This window comes from Homo sapiens, chromosome 17 (assembly GCF_000001405.40).
Source record: "Homo sapiens chromosome 17, GRCh38.p14 Primary Assembly".
Taxonomy (NCBI): Eukaryota; Metazoa; Chordata; class Mammalia; order Primates; family Hominidae; genus Homo; species Homo sapiens.
The window spans coordinates 7168414-7190967 of NC_000017.11; the positions used below are offsets into that span (position 1 = coordinate 7168414).

Sequence of the window (22554 nt, forward strand, 5' to 3'; positions counted from 1 at the left end):
AGCCTCCTGAGTAGCTGGGACTACAGGCACCCGCCACCACACCCGGCTAATTTTTTGTATTTTTAGTAGAGACGGGGTTTCACCATGTTAGCCAGGATGGTCTCAATCTCCTGACCTCATTATCTTCCCACCTCGGCCTCTCAAAGTGCTGGGATTACAGGCGTGAGCCACCACACCTGGCCATGTTATCTTTTTTAATGCTGCATTTGATTTGATAGGCTAATATCTGATAAAAGAATTTTAGGCCGGGCATGGTGTCTCGTGCCTGTAATCCCAATACTTGAGGGCGGATCCAAGCAGGCGGATCACTTGAGGCCAGGAGTTCGAGACCAGCTTGGCCAACATGGCAAAACCCCATCTCTACTAAAAACACAAAAATTGGCTGAGCATGGTGGCTCATGCCTGCATTCCCAGCACTTTGGGAGGCCGAGGCGGGTGGATCATAAGGTCAGGAGTTCAAGACCAGTGTAGGGAGACCCCCTAAAACTATTGCTATGGAATAAAGATGAAATGCTCCTAATTATTGTAAATACAAAATTGCATGCAGAATTGTGTAAAGACAATGCCAGGTTGGGCTGCCAGAATGAGCCAACAGCGCATGATGTGCTTCCCCCTGCAGAAAGCCTATAAACGGACATGCAGTCAGGGAGGTTTCATATCTCCCAGATTCCTATCCCAGAAAAGCAGATGTTCATAGCTCTGGGAGTGGAATGCGACCCTTGTGGAGAGCCTATAAACGGACGCATGAAGGGCACCTGTTCATATGGATAAGGTAGGGTTATAAATGCCCTTATCTTGCCACGGCTCTTCTAGGCCTCTTTAGGGTTAAGGCATACTCCCTTCTGAGAATTTTTGGTCTAACTGGTTGTCTAGCTTCACATCCTGTTTCTATGGATTGTTTGTAACCAGCTTTTGCTGCAACTGTTACTGCTGATTAATATCTTGCTAATCATAGGTTAGGGATAGACTGTGTTTCTGTTTTAAGGCTCTGTTAGAAATTGCTGACGCACACACTATATTGTATATTCTTATCTCTGTACACTGTACTTCTGCATACTGATGTTATGTTAAAGAATTACTTCATCCCCAATGTGACCATCTCACCTCATAATCAAACGACCCTAAATCCCTCACTAACCTACCCCCACCCTCACTAAACTTCATAACAAATGCTGGTATATCCAGTGCATTGGCGGCATCACAGGACCAAAAGGCGGTGACGCCCCTGGACCCAGCTTTCACTATCTTGTGTGTGTCTTTTATTTCTCAACCTGCCAATCCACCTGGGAACAAAGAAAGAGCCATTGCGGGCTGCATTGCAATGCGTTGCAACTGCGGGCTGCTGGCCAGATCCCGCAATAGACCAGCCTGGCCAACATAGTGAAACCCTGTCTCTACTAAAAATACAAAAAATTAACCAGGCTTGGTGGTGGGCACCTGTAATCCTAGCTACTTGGGAGGCTGAGGCAGGAGAATCACTTGAACTTGGGAGGCAGAGGTGCAGCGAGCCGAGATTGCACCACTGCACATCAGCCCAGGTGACAGTGTGAGACTCTGTCTCAAAAAATAATAACAATAATAATAATAATAATTAGCCGGGCATGATGGTGTGTACCTGTAATCCCAGCTACTCAGAAAGCTGAGGCACAAGAATTGCTTGAACCTGGGAGACAGAAGTTGCAGTGAGCTGAGATCACACCACTGCACTCCAGCCTGGGCAGCAGAACAAGACTCTGTCTCAATTAAAAAAAAAAAAAGAATTTTACATTCCTGGTCATTATAATGAAAAGCCTCCATTTGGAAATTGTTAAAGCTTGATTAATGGCCCAGTATTTGCTCAATTTTTTGAGAATGTCTCAGTATACTTGAAAAGAACAGGTATTCCACTGGGTATGGGGGCTTATGGCTGTAATTCCAGCTGCTCGGGAGGCTAAAGCAGGAAAATTGCTTGAGTCCAGGAGTTTGAGACCTGCCTGGGCCACATAGCAAGACCCTTATCTCAAAAATAAAAGGGGGGGTATTTTGTATTTGATGAGTACAGTGTACTAAATGTGTCCATTAGATCATAATAGTTCGATCTGGGATTCAAAACATCTGTATCCTTATTGTTTTGTCTGCTTGATCTATCAATTAGTGAGATATTTTATAATCTATTATGAATGTAAACTTGTCTGTTTTCTTATACCTCTAAAATTTTTGTTTCACGTATTTTGTGGCTATGTTATTCAGTGCATGCATATTTAGTACTAGTGTATCTTCCTGTTGAATTGAACCTTTTATCATTAGGAAGTGATCCTCTTTATCTCTAATAATACTTTTTGTTATAAACTATACTTCATGGCTGGGTGTGGTGGCTCATGCCTGTAATCCCAGCACTTAGGGAGGCCAAGGCGGGTGGATCATGAGATCAGGAGTTCAAGACCAGACTGCCCAAGATGGTGAAACCCCGTCTCTACTAAAAATACAAAAATTAGCCAGGCATGGTGGCGGGCATCTGTAATCCCAGCTACTCGGCAGGCTGAGGCAGAGAATTGCTTGAACCCGGGAGGCAGAGGTTGCAGTGAGCCGAGATGGTGCCACTGCACTGCAGCCTGGGTGACAGAGTGAGACTCCATCTCAAAAAATATATATAAAAAATAAAAATAATAAAAATAAAATAAAACAAAGTGTACTTCATATGATAGTCATTTGGTTGGAATTTGACCAATGTGTCTTTCATCATTTTGCTTCCAGCCTGTTTCAGATGTGGCTCTTGGGCATATAGTTGGATTTTATTTTTTATTCTGTCTGGAAAGTTTTTTTGTCTTTTAACAAGATAACTTGGTATTTTGCATTTAATAAAATCCGCAACATATGTGGATTCATAACCAACCTTTTGTGTTTTTTCTTATCTACCTCTTCTGGGTTTTTTTCTCCTTTATTCTCTTCCTTTAGTTTAATTTTTTTCTTCGTTTTTCCTGCTTATAAGTTTGAAAGTTATAACCCAGCTTCTAAGAGATTTGCCTAAAAATTACAATAATGGCAGGAAAAACACTGTATTTGCTTTACTGTTTTAAATCAGGAAGTGTTATGTAATTATATCCCCTATGTCTCTACTTACGTAATCTTTCTCCTTTCTAAAGTTATGTCTGTGTCTCCTTTTTTTCTCCTTCATTTTTATTTTATTTGCCTTTTTTTTTTTTTTTTTTTTTGAGACAGAGTCTTGCTCTGTCACCCTGTCACCCAGGCCGGAGTGCAGTGGCGAAATCTCGGCCCACTGCAACCTCCACCTCCCTAGTTCAAGCAATTCTCCTGCCTCAGCCTCCTGAATGGTTGGGATTACAGGCGCCCACCACCACACCTGGCTAATTTTTTTGTATTTTTAGTAGAGATGGAGTTTCACCATGTTGGTCAGACTGGTCATGAACTCCTGACCTCAGGAAATCTGCCCATCTCAGCCTCCCAAAGTGCTGAGATTACAAGTGTGAGCCACCATGCCCGGCCTTATTTGCCTTTTTTAAGCATCAAATTTTACTTTTTTTGATCATATCTATATTTTTATTTTCTAGTTCATTATTTCTGCTTATAGTTTTATAAGTTCTTTTCTTCTACTTTAGGGGATTTATCTTATTCTGTTTCAAGTTTCTTGAGTTGAAACAGCATATTTCAAGTCAGCCTTTCTTGTTTTTTAGTAAAAGTGTTTATCTTCGAGACCAGCCTGACCAAAATGGTGAAGCCCCGTCTCTACTAAAAATATAAAAAATTAGTCAGGCGTGGTGGCGGGTGCCTGTAATTCCAGCTACTCGGGAGGCTGAGGCAGGAGAATCCCTTGAACTCAGAAGGTGGACATTGCAGTGAGACGAGGTCACGCCATTGCACTTCAGCCTGGGCAAAAAGAGCAAAACTCCATCTCAAAAATAAATAAATAAATAAAAATAAATAATAGAAGTGCTTATCTCTACTTACATTTTCTCCCGAGAACTACTTTGAGCATCCCACGGTTTCAGCAAATGCAGTACTCTTGTAGTGTATTTCTAAATCACTTGATTTTTTCATTTCGATTTTCTCTTAAACTCAGAATTACTTAGGCAGTAATACAAAAAAAGATGGTGAGAAAATTATATGTTGGTAGATCTCTTCTTGGCTGTACTTTCACGTTCATTTCTAACTTTATTTTACTGTGGTCAGAGCATTGCTCCTCTTAGGAATCACTTGAGGTCTTGTTTATGGGTGAATACTTTGGCAATTTTTGTTCACAGTTCCATGTCTGAATCGGTTTGTCCTAACTCCCATCCTTGGTTGTTGATTCTATCCGCTTTGTTGCTTCTGTTCCGCAGTACTGGTTTTCCTAGTATGTTTGGTGATTCTTGGTTGTGTGTTCGTTGTATCTGCTACCTGTCTATGAACACTGCTTCTGTTTGCTGTAATGAATGCAAAGGACACCAGTGAGTTTCATTCGAAGTTGTTGAAGCACTCAACAAATTCGGGTGGTTCTGCCGGGGGCAGTGGCTCACGCCTGTAATCCCAGCACTTTGGGAAGCCGAGGGGGGCAGATCACTTGAGGTCAGGAATTCGAGGCCAGCCTGGCCAACAATGGTGAAACCCGGTCTCTACTAAAAATACAAAAATTAGCCGGGCGTGATGGTGCACTCCTGTGATCTCAGGTACTCGGGAGGCTGAGGCAGGAGAATCACTTGAACCCGGGGGGCAGAGGTTGCAGTGAGCTGAGATCGTGCCATTGCATTCCAGCCTGGGCAACAGAGCAAGACTCCATCTTACAAAAAAAAAATTCGGGTAGTTCTCCTCCTGGGGGTATTGCTCCAAGTAGGATGGCCTCCAGTAAGATGGCTTGTTTACAGCTGGGACACAGAGAACAATAATTTGCCCAAACTCACGTATCTGTAAATAACAAAGTCTGGCCATTCTGGCCCAAAGCCCACACAGTTCTCATGATGCCACAGCACCCGCTAAGGCTTCGTAATGCCAACCAGCCCACTCCTGCTTCCGAATCCCCAATAACCAGACAACTAACAGAAGGTTTAGGTATATTTCTTTTTACTCTTAAAAAAAAAAAGTTCACAATGATAACCTGCAAACTGCAGAAAGCGCCACGGGTTTCAAGCTCCTCACCTTCGGAACATCACCCTATCCTTCCCCTTCCCTTAAAATCCTAGATGAAAATTCCCGAGAAAGCAGAAGAGGCCCCCAGATGGGCGGATTCCCAATCCCGGACCCCTGCGGCAGGTCGAGGCATTGAAGAAATAAATTAAAGGAGAGGTGGCTCCTGGCTGGCCTTGTCCAGCTCTGTCTCGCAGACCCAGCGGTAGGGCCTCTGGCAGACGTCGTCGTTCCAGCGGCCGTCGTCGGTGAAGTGGGCACAGTCCTCGCCTCCTCCGAGCCCGTGGCCGTACCAGTCGTCCGGCTGCTCCGGCCTCCAGTTCCTGGGGACAGAGCCAGCTGTGGGCCCCAGGAGGTCGGATCCGCAGGCGGGTCGCTCCAGACTCCTCAGCCCAGGGCCCCAGGGCGCGAAGGCGGCCGGACCCAGGCCGAGGGAGGGCGCGCACTCACTTGAAGCCCGTCTCGTAGTCCGTCCCGTCCACCCACTTCCAGGGCCCGTTTTGGTCGTGGAGGCCCATCCAGGTGTTCACAGGGCCTATGTGGTGCTGGACAAATTTCTGAGGAGAGAGAAGGCGGGTGGTGATCTCTCCGAGGCCAGCCAGCCTCCCAGACCCTCCGGGTCCTCACCTGCTCCTCCCAGGACGTGACCACCACCAGGTGCGCGTCCTCCAGCCGGCAGTAGTTGTCGGCGTCAGCCCAGGCCTTCCCGGAGCGAGAGAACCAGTAGCAGCTGCGCTCGTGCTCCACCCAGTTGACCGGGCAGCAGGTCCTTTCTGAGCCTGAGCGGGAGAAACGGGGCGCAGGGGCTAAGCGCTGCCCAGAGAAGGGGGGAGGCAGAGAGCGGGCCGGGCTGGCCTCCTTACCATTGCCCTGGAGCGCCGCCATCTGACAGCTCAGGCTCCGCAGGTCAGACACGAACTGCTTCACGTGGAGCAGCAGGCTGGAGTGATCTGGGGAGACCGGGCGGAGGGGAGCGGGAGGAGATGCGGAAACCACGGGGAGGGAAACGGGAAACGAGGTCAGCCCTACATCCTCCTGCTGGGACCCGAACACCCGTCGCATTGCCACAAACAGCAGCGGAGTTGGCCTGAGAGACCCCCATACACACACACACACACACTCCTACACACACAACACACCCTTACACACACACTCACACAGACACACAACACATCCTAACACACACACACAGACAATATACAACACACACACACACAACCTAACCCACATACACACACACGGACAACACACAAAACACAACACATACAACACACCCTAACCCACAGACACAAACGCAGACAACACACAGAGACACACAACACACCCTAACCCACATACATCCACAACACACACAACACACATAACCCACATACAGACAACACATAAAACACACAATACAGAACACACAACACACCCTAACCCACATACACAAAACACACCCACAGACACACAACACACCCTTACACACACATACATAGACACAACACACCCTAACTCACATACACACTCACACAACACACACAACACACCATACACAACACACCCTCACACGCACAACACACCGTAACCCACATACACAGACAACACACAAAACACACAAACACACAACACACCCTAACCCACATACACACAACACACACAAAACACACACACAATACACCCTCACGCATAACACACCTTAACCCACATACACACAACACACCCTTACACACCCACTCACACACAAAACACCCACAACATACACCCTCACACACACACACGGAACACACCCTAATCTACAGTCACTACACACACAACACACCTTCACCCACGACACACACAACACACCTTCACCCACACACACACACAACACACCCTCACCCAAACACACACAAAAACCACAACACACCCTCACACAGGCACACACACCCTCACCCACATACACACATTCACACAACGCACACCCACACATACAACACACCCTCACCCACTACACACACCACACACACTCACCCACAACACACATATACTCTTTCACACATGCACACACAATGCACATTCACACAACACGCACATACACACACTCACATGCACTTACACATATACTTACATTCTCACACACGCAACACACTAACACACACGTTCTCACATACACTGACACATTCTCACACACATAAACACAGACTCACATTCGCACACACACCCACACTCCCTCATTCTCACACACATAAACACACAGACTCTCCCACTCACAAACACCCATCCACACTCCTTCTCATTTTCACACAGGCTCTCACACACACACACACTCCCTCTCATTCTCACAGACACACACTCAGACACACACACCCATCTCATTCTCACACACACTCCCACTCCTCACACACAGTCTCACAGACACTCCATCTCATTCTCACACTCACAGACACAATCCCTCTCATTCCCCCACACACGCAACACACACTAACACACATACACACGTTCTCACACACATACACTGACACATTCTCACACATAAACACAGACTCACACTCGTACACACACCCACTCCCTCATTCACACAGACTCACACACCCATCCACTCCTTCTCATTCTCACACTCACACACACTCCCTCTCATTCTCACACTCAGACTCTGTCACACACACACCCATCTCATTCTCACACACAGACACACACCCCATCTCATTCTCACACTCACACACACCCCATCTCATTCTCACACTCACAAACACACACACACTCACAGACACACACACCCCATCTCATTCTCACACTCACTCACACACCCCATCTCATTCTCACACTCACAGACTCACACTCAGACACAAACACCCCTCATTCTCACACTCTCACACTCACAGACACACACACCCCATCTCATTCTTACACTCAGACTCACACACACCTCATTATCACACTCACAGACACACTCCGTCATTCTCACACTCTCACACACACTCCCTCTCATTCCCACAGACTGTCTCACACACACTCTATCTCATTCTCACACTCAGACACACACCCCCTCTCATTCCCACACACACACCATCTCATTCTCACACACACACACCTCATTCTCACACACAGACTCACACACACTCCATCTCATTCTCACACTCACAGACATACACACTCCCTCTCATTCTCACATCCACACAAGGCTCTCATACACACACCCAAAACACACTCCCCCTCATTCTCACACACAGACTCACACACACACACACTCCCTCTCATTCTCACACACATCCACACACACTCACACTTTCTCACACACATCCACACATTCTCACTCTCTTTCACACACACACACACACACACACACTCCCTCTCTGACCTTCACTCAGGTCCTTCTGCTGTTTCTCCAGCTGGGACTCTAGCGACTTCATCTTTCTTCCCACATTGCCTCCTGCGGGAGAGGCTCGCTCAGCGTTCCCGACAGCCCCCCAGCCCCAGCCCCAGCCCCAGCCCCGCCCCAGCGCCCTCACCCTGGGTGCTCAAGCCCTTGACCTGGGCCTCCGTGCTCGCTGTGAAGTTGCTGAACGTCTCTCTCAGGCCCCGCAGCTCCTCCTGCAGCTGGGAGTCTGGCCAGGACAGCGTGCAGAGAGAAGAAAACGGGATCGCTGTGTCCGCCACCACTGCACCCACCACTCCCTTGCCACGGTCCCCCGTCAACACCCCCCAATGTTGCCCCCTTCCCACCCCTGGGGCACCCACTTTGGGATCCGATCACACAGACAACCACAAGCAGCAGGAGGCTGAGGCCCAGGGAGAGCAGGAGGAGGCGAGGTCCGGAGCAGAGACGCTGCAGGAGGGGCTGGGGAGGAGGTGGCCCTGCAAGAGGAGGGGGTGTCAGGAGCGCGGGGACAGAGGGGACCCTGGCACAGCTCCAGGGTCCTAAAAGGGTAGCAAGCTAAGGCGGCCCTAGTAGTCTAGGAGGAACCATGTACATGAAGAAATGCGGGCGGTGGGCGACCCTGCAGGGCCAGAGGCAACTGGAAATCGGGGAGAAAAGAGGGCTGGGGAAGGGGGCTAAGCGCTGAGCCGCCCCATCCCACCGAGGCCCTGAGCTTTTGCTGACACCTAATGGCATGACTGCGTCACTGCAGCCAATCCAGGAACCTCAGTCCACCCCCTCCTCCCGCGCCTTGAAACGCAATTGAGTGGCCCGCGCCTCGGAGTCGCTGCTTCCCCTGAAAGTGGGGAAAGAAGGAAGGTTTCTTTCTCTGTCCATGAATTCCACTTGTCTTTGGCTGCGTGCAGGGAGAGAAGGTGCAATAGCTACCATTCAGGCCCTCAAGTCTTCCACCCAGCAGGGGGAAGAGACACGTTAGCCCTGTGCCCTGAGAGCTGGAGGGTTGGGGGGGCCTCCCTGCCGGGTCTCCTCCGCTGCGGACCCTCCTTCCGTCAAAGCGCGCTGCACCCCATCCCCCACGAACTTCATCCTTGCTCAGCCTAAACAATTCCCTGCTCGGAGGACAAAGAAATGGGTCAAGGGGAATTTGTTTTTGAAGCAAAAGAGTCTCGTTCTCCCTCAGGTCAGAGACCCCTCATCGCCCCCCTCACAGAATCCTCAGACCCTTCACAGAAACCTTTTCCCCCTTCACCAAACTGATCACTGACACACACACGCACACGCTCGCACGACCGGGGTCCCTGGGTGGTGTTGGAAGGGGAAAGGAAGAGGGGGCGTGACTTCGTCATAGGAAGCCGACAGTGACCTCATCTCTCCAGCTTCCAGCTGTTCCCACACCCCCGGGTCCACCTCCGAGGGCCAGGAGGCACAGGAAAGCTTTGGGCACCTGTCACCAATAAAGGGACTCCAACCCCACACTCCGCCCCTCTCCTGAGAGAGGCAGTTCCGACACCTTTCCCAGTGTTGGGGGAGGGAGACAGACCCAGAGAGAGAGCCAGGCTCACGGGCAAGAGTAGGAGCTGTGGCTGGGGGGTGGAGAACCGCCAAATTCTCGCCTTGCAGAGGCAGGGCAAGGTGGCCCTCACCTTTTCTGAGCTGATGGTGGTCACTCTCCTCATTGTCCAGATGCTGAAGGTCTTGATACTCCTTGGTCATGATAGGGCTGGCGCTGGACCTGGGACTGAGTCAAGACTGAGGCTGGGGCTGAGGTGGGGGCTCACCAGGACTAGAGTGGGAATGAGGGGCCCATCTCTTTACTCCCATCTGATTGACGGCTCCATCATGGAGACCTTTCTTCTTTCTTTCTTTTCTTTTTCTTTTTTTTCTTTTCTTTTTTTTTTTTTTTTTGAGAGGGAGTCTTGCTCTGTCCCCAGGCCGGAGTGCAGTGGCATGATCTCAGCTTACTGCAACCTCTGCCTCCCGGGTTCAAGCGGTTCTCCTGCCTCAGCCTCTGGAGTAGCTGGGACAACAGGTGCACGCCACCACGCCTGGCTACTTTTTTGTATTTTAGTAGAGACGGGGTTTCACCGTGTTGCCCAGGCTTGTCTCAAACTCCTGAGCTCAGGCAATCCACCCACCCCAGCCTCCCAACGTGCTGGGATTACAGGCGTGGACCACCGCGCCCCACCGGGAGCTTTCTTCTTTCCTCCATCCCCTCCCAGGCCTGACATCCAGAATCCATCCTCTGATGTTTCCCACCCAGCACCCCCCAACACACCCTGGGTTCCCTCCGCACCCCTGCACCCCCAGCCAGCCTCCCGCCACCTCTCTTCCCATTTTACTTGCTCAGGGTCTCAGGGTCTGATTCCCAGGTTCTTCAGTGCTGTGCAGATGCCGAACTAAGGAGGGGGCTGAAGCTTGGAGAATGGGGGTGGGCGGACAGCCGTGGACAATGGGAGGGGAGCGGGCAGGGTCCATAGGAGGGCCCTGGGCCCCGGTGTCTCTGTGTCTGCGTGTCTGTGTGTCCAAGCACGCCAAACGTGGCATCTCCAGTGCCCGGGACTTTGGACAGTAAACAGAGGTGGAAATGGATTGGAACTTAGGGGAGTGTGGGGGTGGGAGTGGGGGATGGGTTGCCTCTGCTCTGCTCCCCAGGGAGGAGAATCGTGTTGCCCCCACACATGCCAGTCACCTCACTCTTCCGTGCACCGTTTGGGAGGGGTGCCAGGCCAGGAGGGGCTGGGGTGGGATTTGCCATATCCCTCCTCCCTCCCCGTTTCGCTTCCTGCCTCTAAATTCCCCAGAACTATTGGTGTCTCCAAATATCCCTGAACAGGATCAGAGGGACCGGTTCTCTGCTCTTGCCCAATCCAGACCTGTGACCCTGGCACCGGAGCCGCAGGCCCCAGTTTCCTGTGGGGCTGAGCCCCAGGCTTCCCAGCTCTGGCCTGACTTGCTTCCCTCTCCTGGGGAGTAAAGTCCTCCAAGCAGCATGAGGGCCAGCTTGGTTCCAGGAAAGGCAGGAGAGCCTCCGCTGGGACTGGTGCCAGCAAACCTCCACTCACTACTACTGTGTGCCTCAGGTCACTGCGTTCATGAACTTCTCTCATTATCCCCAGAGCACATCCCATTTCACAGATGAGAAAGCTAAGGCCCTACAAGGTAAGAGCTTGCCCAGGGTCATGCTGCAAGGAAGCAGCAAAGGGTAGACTAGAACCTGGGCAGCCTGACTCCAGGCACTGCGTTCGGGCCCCAGAACCACACCCATCACACAGAGCCAGGATCCCATCCCGTTGACACAGCTGGGCTCCAGTGTCCCAGAGATGCTAAACGATGGTCCCTCACAGCCCCACGGGGCTTCAGAGAGAGCCATGTGAATTTGAATTATGCTCACTTGGAAATCAGGCAATATTAAAGATAAGTCTCGGCTGGGCGCAGTGGCTTACGCCTGTAATCCCAGCACTGTGGGAGGCCGAGGCAGGCGGATCACCTGAGGTCAGGAGTTCAAGACCAGCCTGACCAACATGATGAAGCCCCGTCTCTACTAAAAATAAAAAAATTAGCAGGGCATGGTGGTGCATGCCTGTAATCCCAGCTACTCAGGAGGCTGAGACAGGAGAATCGCTTAAACCCGGGAGGTGGAGGTTGCAATGAGCCGAGATTATGCCACTGCACTCCAGCCTGGTGACAGAGCAAGACTCCATCTCAAAAAAAAAAAAAAAAATAATAATAATAATAATAATAATAAGTATCAGCTGGGTACAGTGGCTCATGCCTGTAATCTCAGCACTGTGGGAGGCCGAGGTGGGCGGATCATCTGAGGTCAGGAGTTCGAGACCAGCCTGACCAACATGGTGAAACCTTGTCTCTACTAAAAATATAAAAATTAGCCAGGCATGGTGGCAGGCGCTTGTAATCCCAACTACTCGGGAGGCTGAGGCAGGAGAATCGCTTGAACCCGGGAGGCGGAGGTTGCAGTGAGCTGAGATCGCGCCATTGCACTCCAGCCTGGGGGACAAGAGCAAGACTTCATCTCAAAAAAAAAAAAAAAAAAGATAATAAGTCTCACTTTAGGCCCAAATGTGAAGTCATCCAAATCCTATTTTACAGTTATTTCAGTGAGAAAACAAGGCTTGAATTTTGAGAGTTTTCAATGATGTGAGATATTCAGGAACACATCTCTTGCATAAAATGTGACAGGTCTGTGTGTGCCCTCCTTTGTCTGTGTCCTGACAACCACCATGTCATTTATATGTGCTGGGACAATGGCCAGTGATTTTGTTGACTGTTGGGCTGTTAATTAAACATCCTCTAATATAATCACTTACAATCGGGCTTATTCAGGCAAATGAACCTACATTATTTCGGTCGGAATAGTGGTCACCCGGCTGGGCGCGGCGGCTCATGCCTGTAATCCCAGCACTTTGGGAGACCGAGCCGGGCGGATTACCTGAGGTCAGGAGTTCGAGATTAGCCTGGCCAACATAGCGAAATCCCGTCTCTACTAAAAATACAAAAATTAGCCAGGCGTGGTGGCAGGCACCTGTGGTCCCAGCTACACGGGAGGCTGAGGCGGGAGAAATGCTTGAACCCGGGAGACAGAGGTTGCAGTGAGCCGAGATCGTGCCACTGCACTCCAGCCCGGGCAACAGAGGGACACTCCATCTCAAAAAAAAAAAAGAATAGTGGTCACCCTCACAGAAATAGTGACTAGCCAAGAGCACAAGAGGCACGTCGGGGATGACGGAAAACTTCAGCTCTTGGGTGTGGATGCTGGTTACACCGTGGTGGTGTTCAGCTTGCAAAGCTGCAGAAAGGTATGCAGTTATGATATGTGCATTTTTCCGTTTGCACATTATATTGGAGTAAGAGGCTTTCAAATCTGATTTCTACTCTATAACCACATTCCCCAAACTCATTGATTAGGGAGCAGTGCTTGGATCAGTGCTGAAAAACACCCTCTAAAGGCAATAACATTTATTATTATTATTATTATTATTATTATTTTTAGAGATGGGGGTCTCACCGTGTTGCCCAGACTGGTCTCAAATTCCTGGCCTCAAGTAATCCTCCCTCCCCAGCCTCCTGAGTAGCTAGGATTACAGGTTTGTGCCACCACCCTTGGCAAAGCAAGTAACTTTAGAATGGAAGTCAGAGATGGAAGGCAAACAAATAATACCATGTACCAGGCCACTAACTTCCAAGCCCTCTGCAAAATACCAGAGATAATACTGAAAACCAAAAAGTAGCTAAAAACAAAACTATGCCACAATGGTGGTAGATTGATGCCCTCTGAGAATTCATTCACCCTTTACATTTATTTCTTTAAGAACATGTTAGGCCGGATCTGGTGGCTCACATCTGTCATCCCAACACTTTGGGAGGTCAAGGCAGGAGGACTGCTTGAGGCCAGGAGTTTGAGACACATGTCCTGGGCAACATAGCAAGACCCCATCATGCCTGTAGTCTCAGCTACTTGGGAGGCTGAAGTGGGAGGATCACTTGAGCCCAGGAGTTGAGGCCACAGTGAGCTATGATGGTGCCACTGCACTCCAGCCTGGGTGATAGAGTGAGAACCTGTCTCAAAATAAGTAAATAAATTAATTAAATGAAATTAAATTAAAGGTTATAGGCCAGGCGTGGTGGCTCATGCCTGTAATCCCAGCACTTTGGGAGGCCGAGGCAGGTGGATCACGAGGTCAGGAGTTTGAGACCAGCCTGGCCAAGATAGTGAAACCCTGTCTCTACTAAAAATACAAAACAAAATTAGCCAGGCATGGTGGCGGGCGCCTGTAATCTCAGCTACTCGGGAGGCTGAGGCAGAGAATTGCTTGAGCCCAGGAGGCAGAGGCTGCAGTGAGCCGAGATCGAGCCACTGCACTCCAGCCTGGGTGACAGGGCAATACTCTGTCTAGGAAGAAAAAAAAAAAAGATTATATACCTTGGTTAGGGTAATCACTCTGTGGTTTATCCCTGTGTATGCTAATAAATTTGAATGCCTTTCTTGAAAATATATTTTTTGGCTGGGCGCGGTGGCTCACGCCTGTTATCCCAGCACTTTGGGAGGCCAAGGCAGGTGGATCACGAGGTCAGGATATCCAGACCATCCTGGCTAACGCGGTGAAACCCCATGTCTACTAAAAATACAAAAAAAAAAAATTAGCTGGGCATGGTGGCGGGCACCTGTAGTCCCAGCTACTCGGGAGGCTGAGGCAGGAGAATGGCGTGGCGTGAACCCTGGAGGCAGAGCTTGCAGTGAGCCGAGATCGCGCCACTGCACTCCAGCCCGGGCAACAGAGCGAGACTCCGTCTCAAAAAAAAAAAGAAAAAAAAAGAAAATAAATTTTTTGGCCAGGCATGGTGGCTCATGCCTCTAATCCCAGCACTTTGTGAGGCCAAGGCAGGCAGATGGCTTGAGCTCAAGAGTTCGAGACAAGCCTGGATAACATGGAAAAACCCTGTCTCTACCAAAAATACAAAAAATTAACCAGGTGTGGTGGTGCATGCCTGTGGTCCCAGCTACTCACGCGGCTGAGGTGAGAGGATCGCTTGAACCTGGGAGGCGGAGGTTGCAGTGAGCCAAGATCATGCCACTGCACTCCAGCCTGGGTGACAGACCAAGACCCTTTCTCTATGCGCCTGTAGTCCCAGCTACACAGGAGGCTGAGGCAGGAGAATGGCTTGAACCCAGGAGGCGGAGGTTGCAGTGAGCCAAGATCCCGCCACTGCACTCCAGCCTGGCGACAGAGCGAGACTCCATCTCAAAATAAATAAATAAATAAATAAATAAATAAATAAATAAATAAATATTTTCTTTAATACAAATTAATAACGTTTTCAAATATTGAAGAATTTTAGAGGATATGGACCTTGGATTTTCCTTGTGGAGAAAGTCTCCTGTATTAATTTTGTATTGCTGATAACAAAGGAAGACCCATAAAGAGTTGCAGTCAGGGCAGTGGTGAGGTCAGATCTGTGAGTTTAACAACAGCCTGGCCTTGGAGTGGGTGATGGCTCAGAGATGGTTTGCCCAGAGGCAGGGAGATGAGATCAGGAGGCTGCTGCGTTGGTCTCAGTGAGAAACTGTGAGGCTGGAGGCCAGACAGGGAAGGCCAGATGAGCAGAACTTTAGCAGGGGAATGAAGTGGACCTGTAGCTACTGAATGTGCAGTCAGGAGGGGACCAGGGAGGTGGGGGACAGTGGCACACCTGCCCAGGGTCCAGAGGCTACTGTAGATGGGTCTGGAGTCTGAAGAGACTTATGAGCAGGAGCCTCTGAAAGCAGAGTTGTGGGCGAGGTCCAGGTGTGGCAAAGTGCCCTGTGGCGACCCTGCTCCGTGAGAGGGCATGGTGGAAAGAAAGCAGCCCAGGACAGTCCCTGCCAGTGGGAGAAGCAGAAGGAAGTACCCAGGCCTGGCAGTCATCCAAGCTTCAGGGCCAGCTCTGGGGACCATAAGCACCAAGTTAAATATTGCTAGGGAGGCCACGCGCGGTGGCTCATGCCTGTAATCCTAGCACTTTAGGAGGCCGAGGCGGGCAGATTTCGTGAGCTCAGGAGTTGGAGACCAGCCTGGGCAACACGGTGAAACCACGTCTCTACTAAAATACAAAACAATTAGCCGGGCATGGCAGCGTGCGCCTGTAGTCCCAGGTAGTCTGGAGGTTGAGGCAGGAGAATTGCTTGAACCCAGGAGGCGGAGCTTGCAGTGAGCCGAGATTGCACCACTGCACTCCAGCCTGGGTGGCAGAGCGAGCCTCCATCTCAAAAAAAAAAAAAAAGTGTACATATATATATATATTTTGCTGAGGAGAGATAATGGAATGAACTTCCCATAAGGGTAAGTCAGGAAGACTGGAGTATTTTCAGATTGGGGGAGGCCTGAGCCGCTGGTGAACAGAGGAGAAGGGGCTGGAAGCAAGAGGGCTTGTGGCTGCTGAGCAAGAAGCTTGCCGAAGGCCGGAGGCTCCAGGAAGATGCTCATGCTGCAAAACCAGCCTGAGGCCCTCCATCAGCCAGACCTGCTCCACCTTGCCCTCATCTGGAAAATGGGTTCATGCCCCGCTCAGAGTGCTCATCAAGGTTAAATGGGATAATGAGTGAAAAGCACTTAGCGCAGTGCTGGCACACACCAGGTGCTCAGCACGTGCTAGCTGATTTTATTTTTATTATTCTCACTAGCAACACAGCCATGAGTTGCATTAGACCTCCAAGGCCTCTTCCAGTTTGGGAGGAGGAGAAAAGGGAGAAGATTGGGATCAGGATGGCAGAGGATGTCTGTCCCCACACCCCAGAGGGTGGTTATAGCAACTTCGCTGGGACAGAGCTGGAGGCCCGGGGGTTATCTGAGTTGAGACAGTCCCTTCCCCTGCTATGGAGAAGGATTCTGAGCTCCCTCAGTCCTTGCCAACCCTCTCAGAGCACTTTCCAGCCTCATGTTTGGGATGGGCCTGTGCACCCAAGGGCTGGAGCTAGACCTCCTCCCAGGCCTGCAGGGAGTCTAATACCCGCAGATCTGAAAAGAGGCACCTGAACAAACAGGCAGGAGGGGCAAAGCAGAGGCTCTTCACGAACTTCCCAAAGAGGGCGGCCTATGGTCCCATATCTAGAAGAGGCTGAGCAGGAATTGGGTTGAGATGAAGCAGGGGAGGTTGAGGAAAAGGAAGGCTATCCTCCAACCTTTCGGGCTGGAGGGCTGTGCGCCAGGGCAAGGGAAGAGGGGGACCACCAGTGCTGAAAGGAGCAGACGGGCCTCTGCACACAAGTTTAAATCTGAGCTGACACAACCCACCCCAAGGGCTTCAATATCCCATCTCTGCAGTTGACAAGAAGCCGGCCTGCAGGAATGGGGGCCCAAGCTCCCTGTCTCCAGTAGGGTCTCTCTCCCCCCAGCTCTCTCCTCCTCAATGCCACTCTGTCCACCCCAGGCACACCTTTTCAACCTTGGGACAGCCAGGATTCTCTGACCCAGGACCCTCTCTATACCTCTTTCCTACTTTTTTTTTGAGACAGAGTCTTGCCCTGTCGCCCAAGCTGGAGTGCAGTGGCGCAATCTCAGCTGACTGTAAACTCCGCCTCCCGGGTTCAAGGGATTCTCCTGCCTCAGCCTCCCCAGTAGCTGGGATTACAGGCGCCCGCCACCACCCCCAGCTTTTTTTGTTTGTTTGTTTTTTTAGTAGAGACAGGGTTTCACCATGTTGGCCAGGCTGGTCTTGAACTCCTGACCTCGTGATCTGCCCACCTCAGCCTCCCAAAGTGCTGGGATTACAGGCGTGAGCCACCATGCCAGGCCTGCCTCTTTCCTACTTTTTGAGGGTAAAACTTGTTAAAACTCCAAATGATTCCAGGCTTTAACTTTTGGGCTTATGCATATCTGAAAATAGACCAAGAGGCCAATGACAATAATTGCTACCATTTTCTACCATGCGTCAGGCACTGTGCTGAGGGCTTTACGTGTACTTTCCAGTTTATTCCTCCCAAGTATCCACCAAGGTAGGTAGTTATTTCCATTTTACAGCTAGGTATACTGAGGCTTAGAGAGGTTAAGCTCTCCCCAGAGTGACAGTGACTCCACCATCGTCCCTCATCCTAACGCCAGCAACAGCCTAGCTGGCTCTCCATTGCCCCCTGCTGTGTATTCCCCTTCACACCCAGAGTAACTGGCTCACGGTTCCCTCCACAGCCCTCCAGCAGCTTCTACACCACTCTGAAAAATCCACGGGAAGTCCTGTGTGCCACGCCTCTCTGACTTCTCTGACACACCTATTTCTCTCTGTCCCCCACCCTACTCCACTCCAGTGGCCTCCTTCTGTCCTCCAACCTTTCAAATTTATTCCTTCCAGACTGTTCGTCTCCCTACTTGGCACACTCTCACCACCCCAGTCTTTGTTGTCCTTCAGGCCTCCACCCAAATGATGCTGCAAGGGGCCTCCCTGACCGCCCGGTCTAAACCAGCAAGGGCCATCACTCTCTTTCATAGTAGCACCCATCATTGTCTAAACACTCTGTGTTCACTTACTCCCTATAGTCTGTCATCTCCACTGGATGCACCCAAAGTTCCCTAAGGACAGGGATGTTGCCTTCCCAGCATCTAGAACACTGCCTGGTTCCAAGGAACATCCAAGGAAGTATTTACTGAAAGAAGTAAAAAGTGTGGGGAGAAGAGGAACCAGGATTTGAACCTATGTTGTTTGGGAGCCCAGGGCTCCAATGCATTAATTACATTGCCTTCTCAAGCGGCCAGGCCATGGCCTTGGAAGAATACAGCCCCAGCGGCAACCGTGCTTCCCCTGAGGAATAATGCCTGGAGGGAAACAGGAAGGAAACTTTTTAAAAACAGTATGTATTTCTATATTTATTTGAATTGTTGTCAGGTACGTGTACTGATTATAATTTACAAAATAATGCATGCAGGCCAGGCGCGGTGGCTCATGCCTGTAATCCTAGCACTTTGGGAGGCCGAGGGGGGGGGGGGTGGATCACCCGAGGTCAGGAGTTCGAGACCAGCCTGATCAATATGGTGAAATCCCCATCTCTACTAAATACAAAAAATTAGCTGGGCGTGGTGGCATGCACCTGTAATCCCAGCTACTCGGGAGGCTGAGGCAGGAGAATAGCTTGAATCCGGAAGGCAGAGGTTGCAGTGAGCAGAGATCGCACCACTGCACTCCAGCCTGGGCAACAAGAGCGAAACTCTGTCTCCAATAATAATAATAATAATAATAATAATAATACATGCAAAATTATGTGATTCTACCCCATCCAGGTCAAATATGTGATTCTGCCCCTTCTAGTTTAACACGCAGACGCATTACCTGCACACACCTTCCTCAGCTCCTAGATTTCTCCCTTCAGCTCACGATAGAGAACGTTATCACAGCCTCAAGCCATCTGCTATTACACAGAACCAAGCTAAGAGAAGGATTATTTGAAAAACATCAGGGCCAGGTGCAGTGGCTCACGCCTGTAATCCCAGCACTTTGGGAGGCCAAGGCGGGCAGATCACCTGAGGTCAAGAGTTTGAGACCAGCTTGGCTAACATGGTGAAACCCCGTTTCTACTAAAAATATTAAAAAATAGCTGTGTGTTATGGCACGCATCTGTAATCCCAGCTACTTGGGAAGCTGAGGCAGGAGAATCACTTGAACCCTGGAGTTGGAGGTTGCAGTGAGCCGAGATCGCGCCATTGCACTCCAGCTTGGGCAACAAAAGTGAAACTCGACCTCAAAAAAAAAAAAAAAAAAATCCTCTGAAGCAGTGCTTCTCCACCCAGTGAGACATCAAAATCACCCGGGAGCTTTCCAGAAATGCAGACCCCTGGTCCCTATCCCCAGGATCCTGATGGACTCGGTCCTGCATAGAAAATCCTGCAGGGCAATACGTGGCTACTGGTTGAAGTGACACCCCTTCAGCAATCTCTGCCTCTATTCTTGGACTACTTTAGGCTTGGACGGCCATGCCATCCACAGAATCACTACCCCTGGGTTGGTCTTTTGCATGAAACTCTCAACTTTAGTCAGGAGTGGCTACAAAAAATGCCCTTTTGCACTGTTTGGGATTTAACCACCATAACTCTTAGGGCCCTCTGCCTCAGCCTTACCCACTGGAGCACCTGAGAATCAGAGAAAGGAATAGTACCCCAGCAGGTGCCCCCAAAGGTTCATCTGTGCCAAACACATGAAGAAGGCAGAAGGCTGAGAGTCACCATTCTACATAGCAGGATCTCAGGAGCTTCAGTTAGGACTTAGGGCCAGGAAAATATGACTCCCTAAAAGAACTAAAATTATTTCTCCCTTATAATAAAGAAGTAGGTAATTGACAATTTCCTTTTTTGCCATGGCTATCAGGAAGCTCAGAGATCACATTTACCCTCACAGTTCATATACATTTCTCCAGTTTTCATCTTTGGCATTTAGATTCTTATTTTCCTACCCTCATTATTTACAAAGCTGCCTCAGATCTTTCCCATAGAGATAGGACATAAAGGCTGGGCGTAGTGGCTCATGCCTGTAATCTTAACACTGTGGGAGGCCAAGCTGGGCGGATCACCTGAGGTCAGGAGTTCGAGACCAGCCTGGCCAACAAAGCAAAACCCCATCTCTACTAAAAATACAAAAATTAGCCAGGAGTGGTGGCAGGCGCCTGTAATCCCAGCTATTCGAGAGGCTGAGGCAGGAGAACCGTGTGAACCCAGCAGGCAGAGGTTGCAGTGAGCCAAGATCGCACCACAGCACTCCAGCCTGAGCGAAAGAGCGAAACTCTGTCTCAAAAAAAAAAAAAAAAGGGTGGGGGGGGCGCATAAAGAAACCTAGCGTATATTCACACAGCAGTTCTTATCAGCAGAACTCTGTAAAGATCATTTCCAGGCCAGGCGCGGTGGCTCACGCCTGTAATCCCAGCACTTTGGGAGGCTGAGGCGGGTGGATAACAAGGTCAGGAGTTCAAGACCAGCCTGACCAACATGGTGAAACCCCATCTCTACTAAAAATACAAAATTAGCCAGGCATGGTGGCAGTAATCTGTAATCCCAGCTACTCAGGGGGCTGAGGCAGGAGAATCACTTGAACCAGGGTGGCAGAGATCACAGTGAGCCGAGATCGAGCCACTGCACTCCAGCCTGTGCGACAGAGCAAGACTCTGTCTCAAAAAAAAAAACAAAAAAACAAAAAAAATCATTTCCAGATCCTAGCTCTGTCCACAACTCCATGAACATGAATGAACGAAGTTTCCTCTCTATTTTCCTTTAAGGACTGTTGTGCTTCCCAACAGGACTGAGACAGCCCGGCAGGGATCAGAGCTGGACTAAGTCTGCAGGGCCCCAGACAAGTTCCAGCCTCCCCTTTCTGGCCTGTCATGACTTTGGACAGAGCTCCAGACCTTCCCAGGCTCAGTCTTCACCAACTCGGGTTCCTTGATTTGCCAGTTACCTCCCTGGCCCATTTTCCAGGCCACTAACCTCTCTGGCTTGGAGTGAAGAAGGATCTGACTCTGCTGCGCCCATCTCCCTCCACACCCAGGTCCCAAATAACCAGGCCACACACCAAGTTTCAAGTATCTGTCTCTTCCTTTCACTCTCTCAAAAGAAAAAAATAAATAAATTGCAGAAGGCGGCAGCATTTCCAGTCTTCCCTGGCTCCCGGACACCCGACCCCCGACCCCTGCCCCCCACCCTCCCTCCCGCATTTCCCACTCCCTAGACCCATCCCTCCCTTTTCCCCAAAAAAATTCCCAGGAAAAAAAAAAAAAAAAGCCACATTTAGACCTTCCACTCATGCAAACCGGCAAAGAAAAATGGTGGGGGCATGTGGAAGGCAGGGGCCCGCTGCGGAGTCCCCTGCTTCTCCCCCCAAAAAACCACCTTTGAGAAGAAAAAAAGTGGAAAAAATAAATGAGAAATCAAGGAACATGGGGAATTACGATGAGGGCAGGGGTGACCCCAGACCCTGCCTTAGGAGAGAGCGGAGGCCTGTGGCCCTGCATCCCTGCAGCGGGTGCTCCTCGAGGGGGCCCTGACTTCTGGAATGTGTGTGGGAGAGGATGGGGGAGGGCAGGTGGCCCCCGGTGGGTCTGTGTGTGCATTGGGGGCAGGTGGGGGCGGGGATCCTAAGGAGCAAGGGCTCGGAACAAGGAGCCCAGCTCCCCCCCAGACCCCAGGTTCCTGGCGTTCAGGAGCCCAGTTCTGGGGTGCGGGGATACATGCAGAGGAGTGTCCCCCCTCCAACAGGCTGGATCCAGTTAGAAAGGAAATAAATAAGAAGGGGTGGGAGGGAGGCCGGGGGGAGCCAAGGGCTTGGGCAATTCAGTCCAGACCAAGGGCCCAGGTGATGGAGGCAGGGCGAGTCCAGGCCAAGCCAGGGCAGGAATCAGAGTCTCTCTCGGGCTGGAACCCAGATGTAGGGGCCTGAGAGGTCCTCGATGACACGCTTCACCTTGTGGTAGATCTCCTCAAAGCTGTCACCCTCCACGATGGCTGGGAGTGGGGTGGAGCAGGGAGTGAGGCCAAGGAAGGGCCAGAGGACACCTGGCCAAGGGGGTTGCACCAGCCCAGAGGAAGGGGCACCTCTTTCCAACTCTCCAAGCCATAAGTCCTGGGGCTGCACCCGCCCACAGGGGCACCTCTTTT

At 50.5% G+C, this 22554-nt stretch overlaps 2 protein-coding genes and 1 long non-coding RNA gene across 12 annotated transcripts in view, besides 2 other annotated features; 1 reads left to right on the forward strand and 2 right to left on the reverse strand.

Annotated features, from left to right (window-relative positions):
- The first annotated feature begins 655 nt into the window (after positions 1-655).
- LOC124903911 (uncharacterized) lies at positions 656-5260 on the forward strand. Its single transcript, XR_007065601.1, has 2 exons — positions 656-772; positions 5154-5260. It is a non-coding gene; the product is annotated as an uncharacterized LOC124903911 (long non-coding RNA).
- Positions 5018-10957, reverse strand: ASGR1 (asialoglycoprotein receptor 1). Of its 3 annotated transcripts, none has more exons than NM_001671.5 (9): positions 10777-10957; positions 10081-10175; positions 8797-8913; positions 8568-8663; positions 8417-8488; positions 5961-6047; positions 5725-5876; positions 5548-5654; positions 5018-5420 (listed from the first exon to the last, which is right to left on the reverse strand). In NM_001671.5, the coding sequence occupies exons 2-9, from the start codon at positions 10148-10150 to the stop codon at positions 5246-5248; spliced, it is 876 nt and encodes a 291-aa protein (NP_001662.1). In that variant the 5' UTR covers positions 10151-10175; positions 10777-10957; the 3' UTR covers positions 5018-5245. The 3 variants fall into 3 exon arrangements, with proteins under 3 accessions (NP_001662.1, XP_011522163.1, NP_001184145.1); XM_011523861.3 differs by having other exon boundaries at positions 10081-10220; NM_001197216.3 differs by lacking the exon at positions 8797-8913.
- Positions 5669-6385: an enhancer, noted in NCBI's record as "H3K27ac-H3K4me1 hESC enhancer chr17:7077401-7078117 (GRCh37/hg19 assembly coordinates)". NCBI's record gives its function as "activates a minimal SCP1, AML or CMV promoter by ChIP-STARR-seq in naive H9 embryonic stem cells {active_cell/tissue: H9 hESC(naive)}" and the evidence as "EXISTENCE:reporter gene assay evidence [ECO:0000049][PMID:30033119]".
- Positions 18239-18408: a silencer, noted in NCBI's record as "fragment chr17:7089971-7090140 (GRCh37/hg19 assembly coordinates)". NCBI's record gives its function as "represses an EF-1alpha promoter that drives an FKBP-Casp9 reporter gene in an ReSE screen in K562 erythroleukemia cells {active_cell/tissue: K562}" and the evidence as "EXISTENCE:reporter gene assay evidence [ECO:0000049][PMID:32094911]".
- The window catches only part of DLG4 (discs large MAGUK scaffold protein 4), a 32864-nt gene continuing 29083 nt past the window's right edge, over positions 18774-22554 (reverse strand). For 6 of the 8 annotated variants that reach the window (NM_001365.5, NM_001128827.4, NM_001321075.3 and 3 more), the window contains one exon: positions 18774-22401. In NM_001365.5, the coding sequence (NP_001356.1) occupies positions 22295-22401 (107 nt within the window). In that variant the 3' untranslated portion in view covers positions 18774-22294. The remainder of the gene's footprint in view (positions 22402-22554) is intronic. The other 2 variants (NR_135527.1, NM_001321074.1) reach the window with 1 other exon arrangement.

What these genes read in the sequence shown, in the direction of transcription:
- ASGR1 (NM_001671.5), bottom strand. Translation starts at nt 10,150, where the DNA reads ATGACCAAGGAGTATCAAGACCTTCAGCATCTGGACAATGAGGAGAGT. An exon ending in CCACCATCAGCTCAGAAAAG is followed by an intron (nt 8,914 to 10,080) that starts GTGAGGGCCACC and finishes CTCCTCTTGCAG; the next exon opens with GGCCACCTCCTCCCCAGCCC. An exon ending in CTGTGTGATCGGATCCCAAA is followed by an intron (nt 8,664 to 8,796) that starts GTGGGTGCCCCA and finishes TGTCCTGGCCAG; the next exon opens with ACTCCCAGCTGCAGGAGGAG.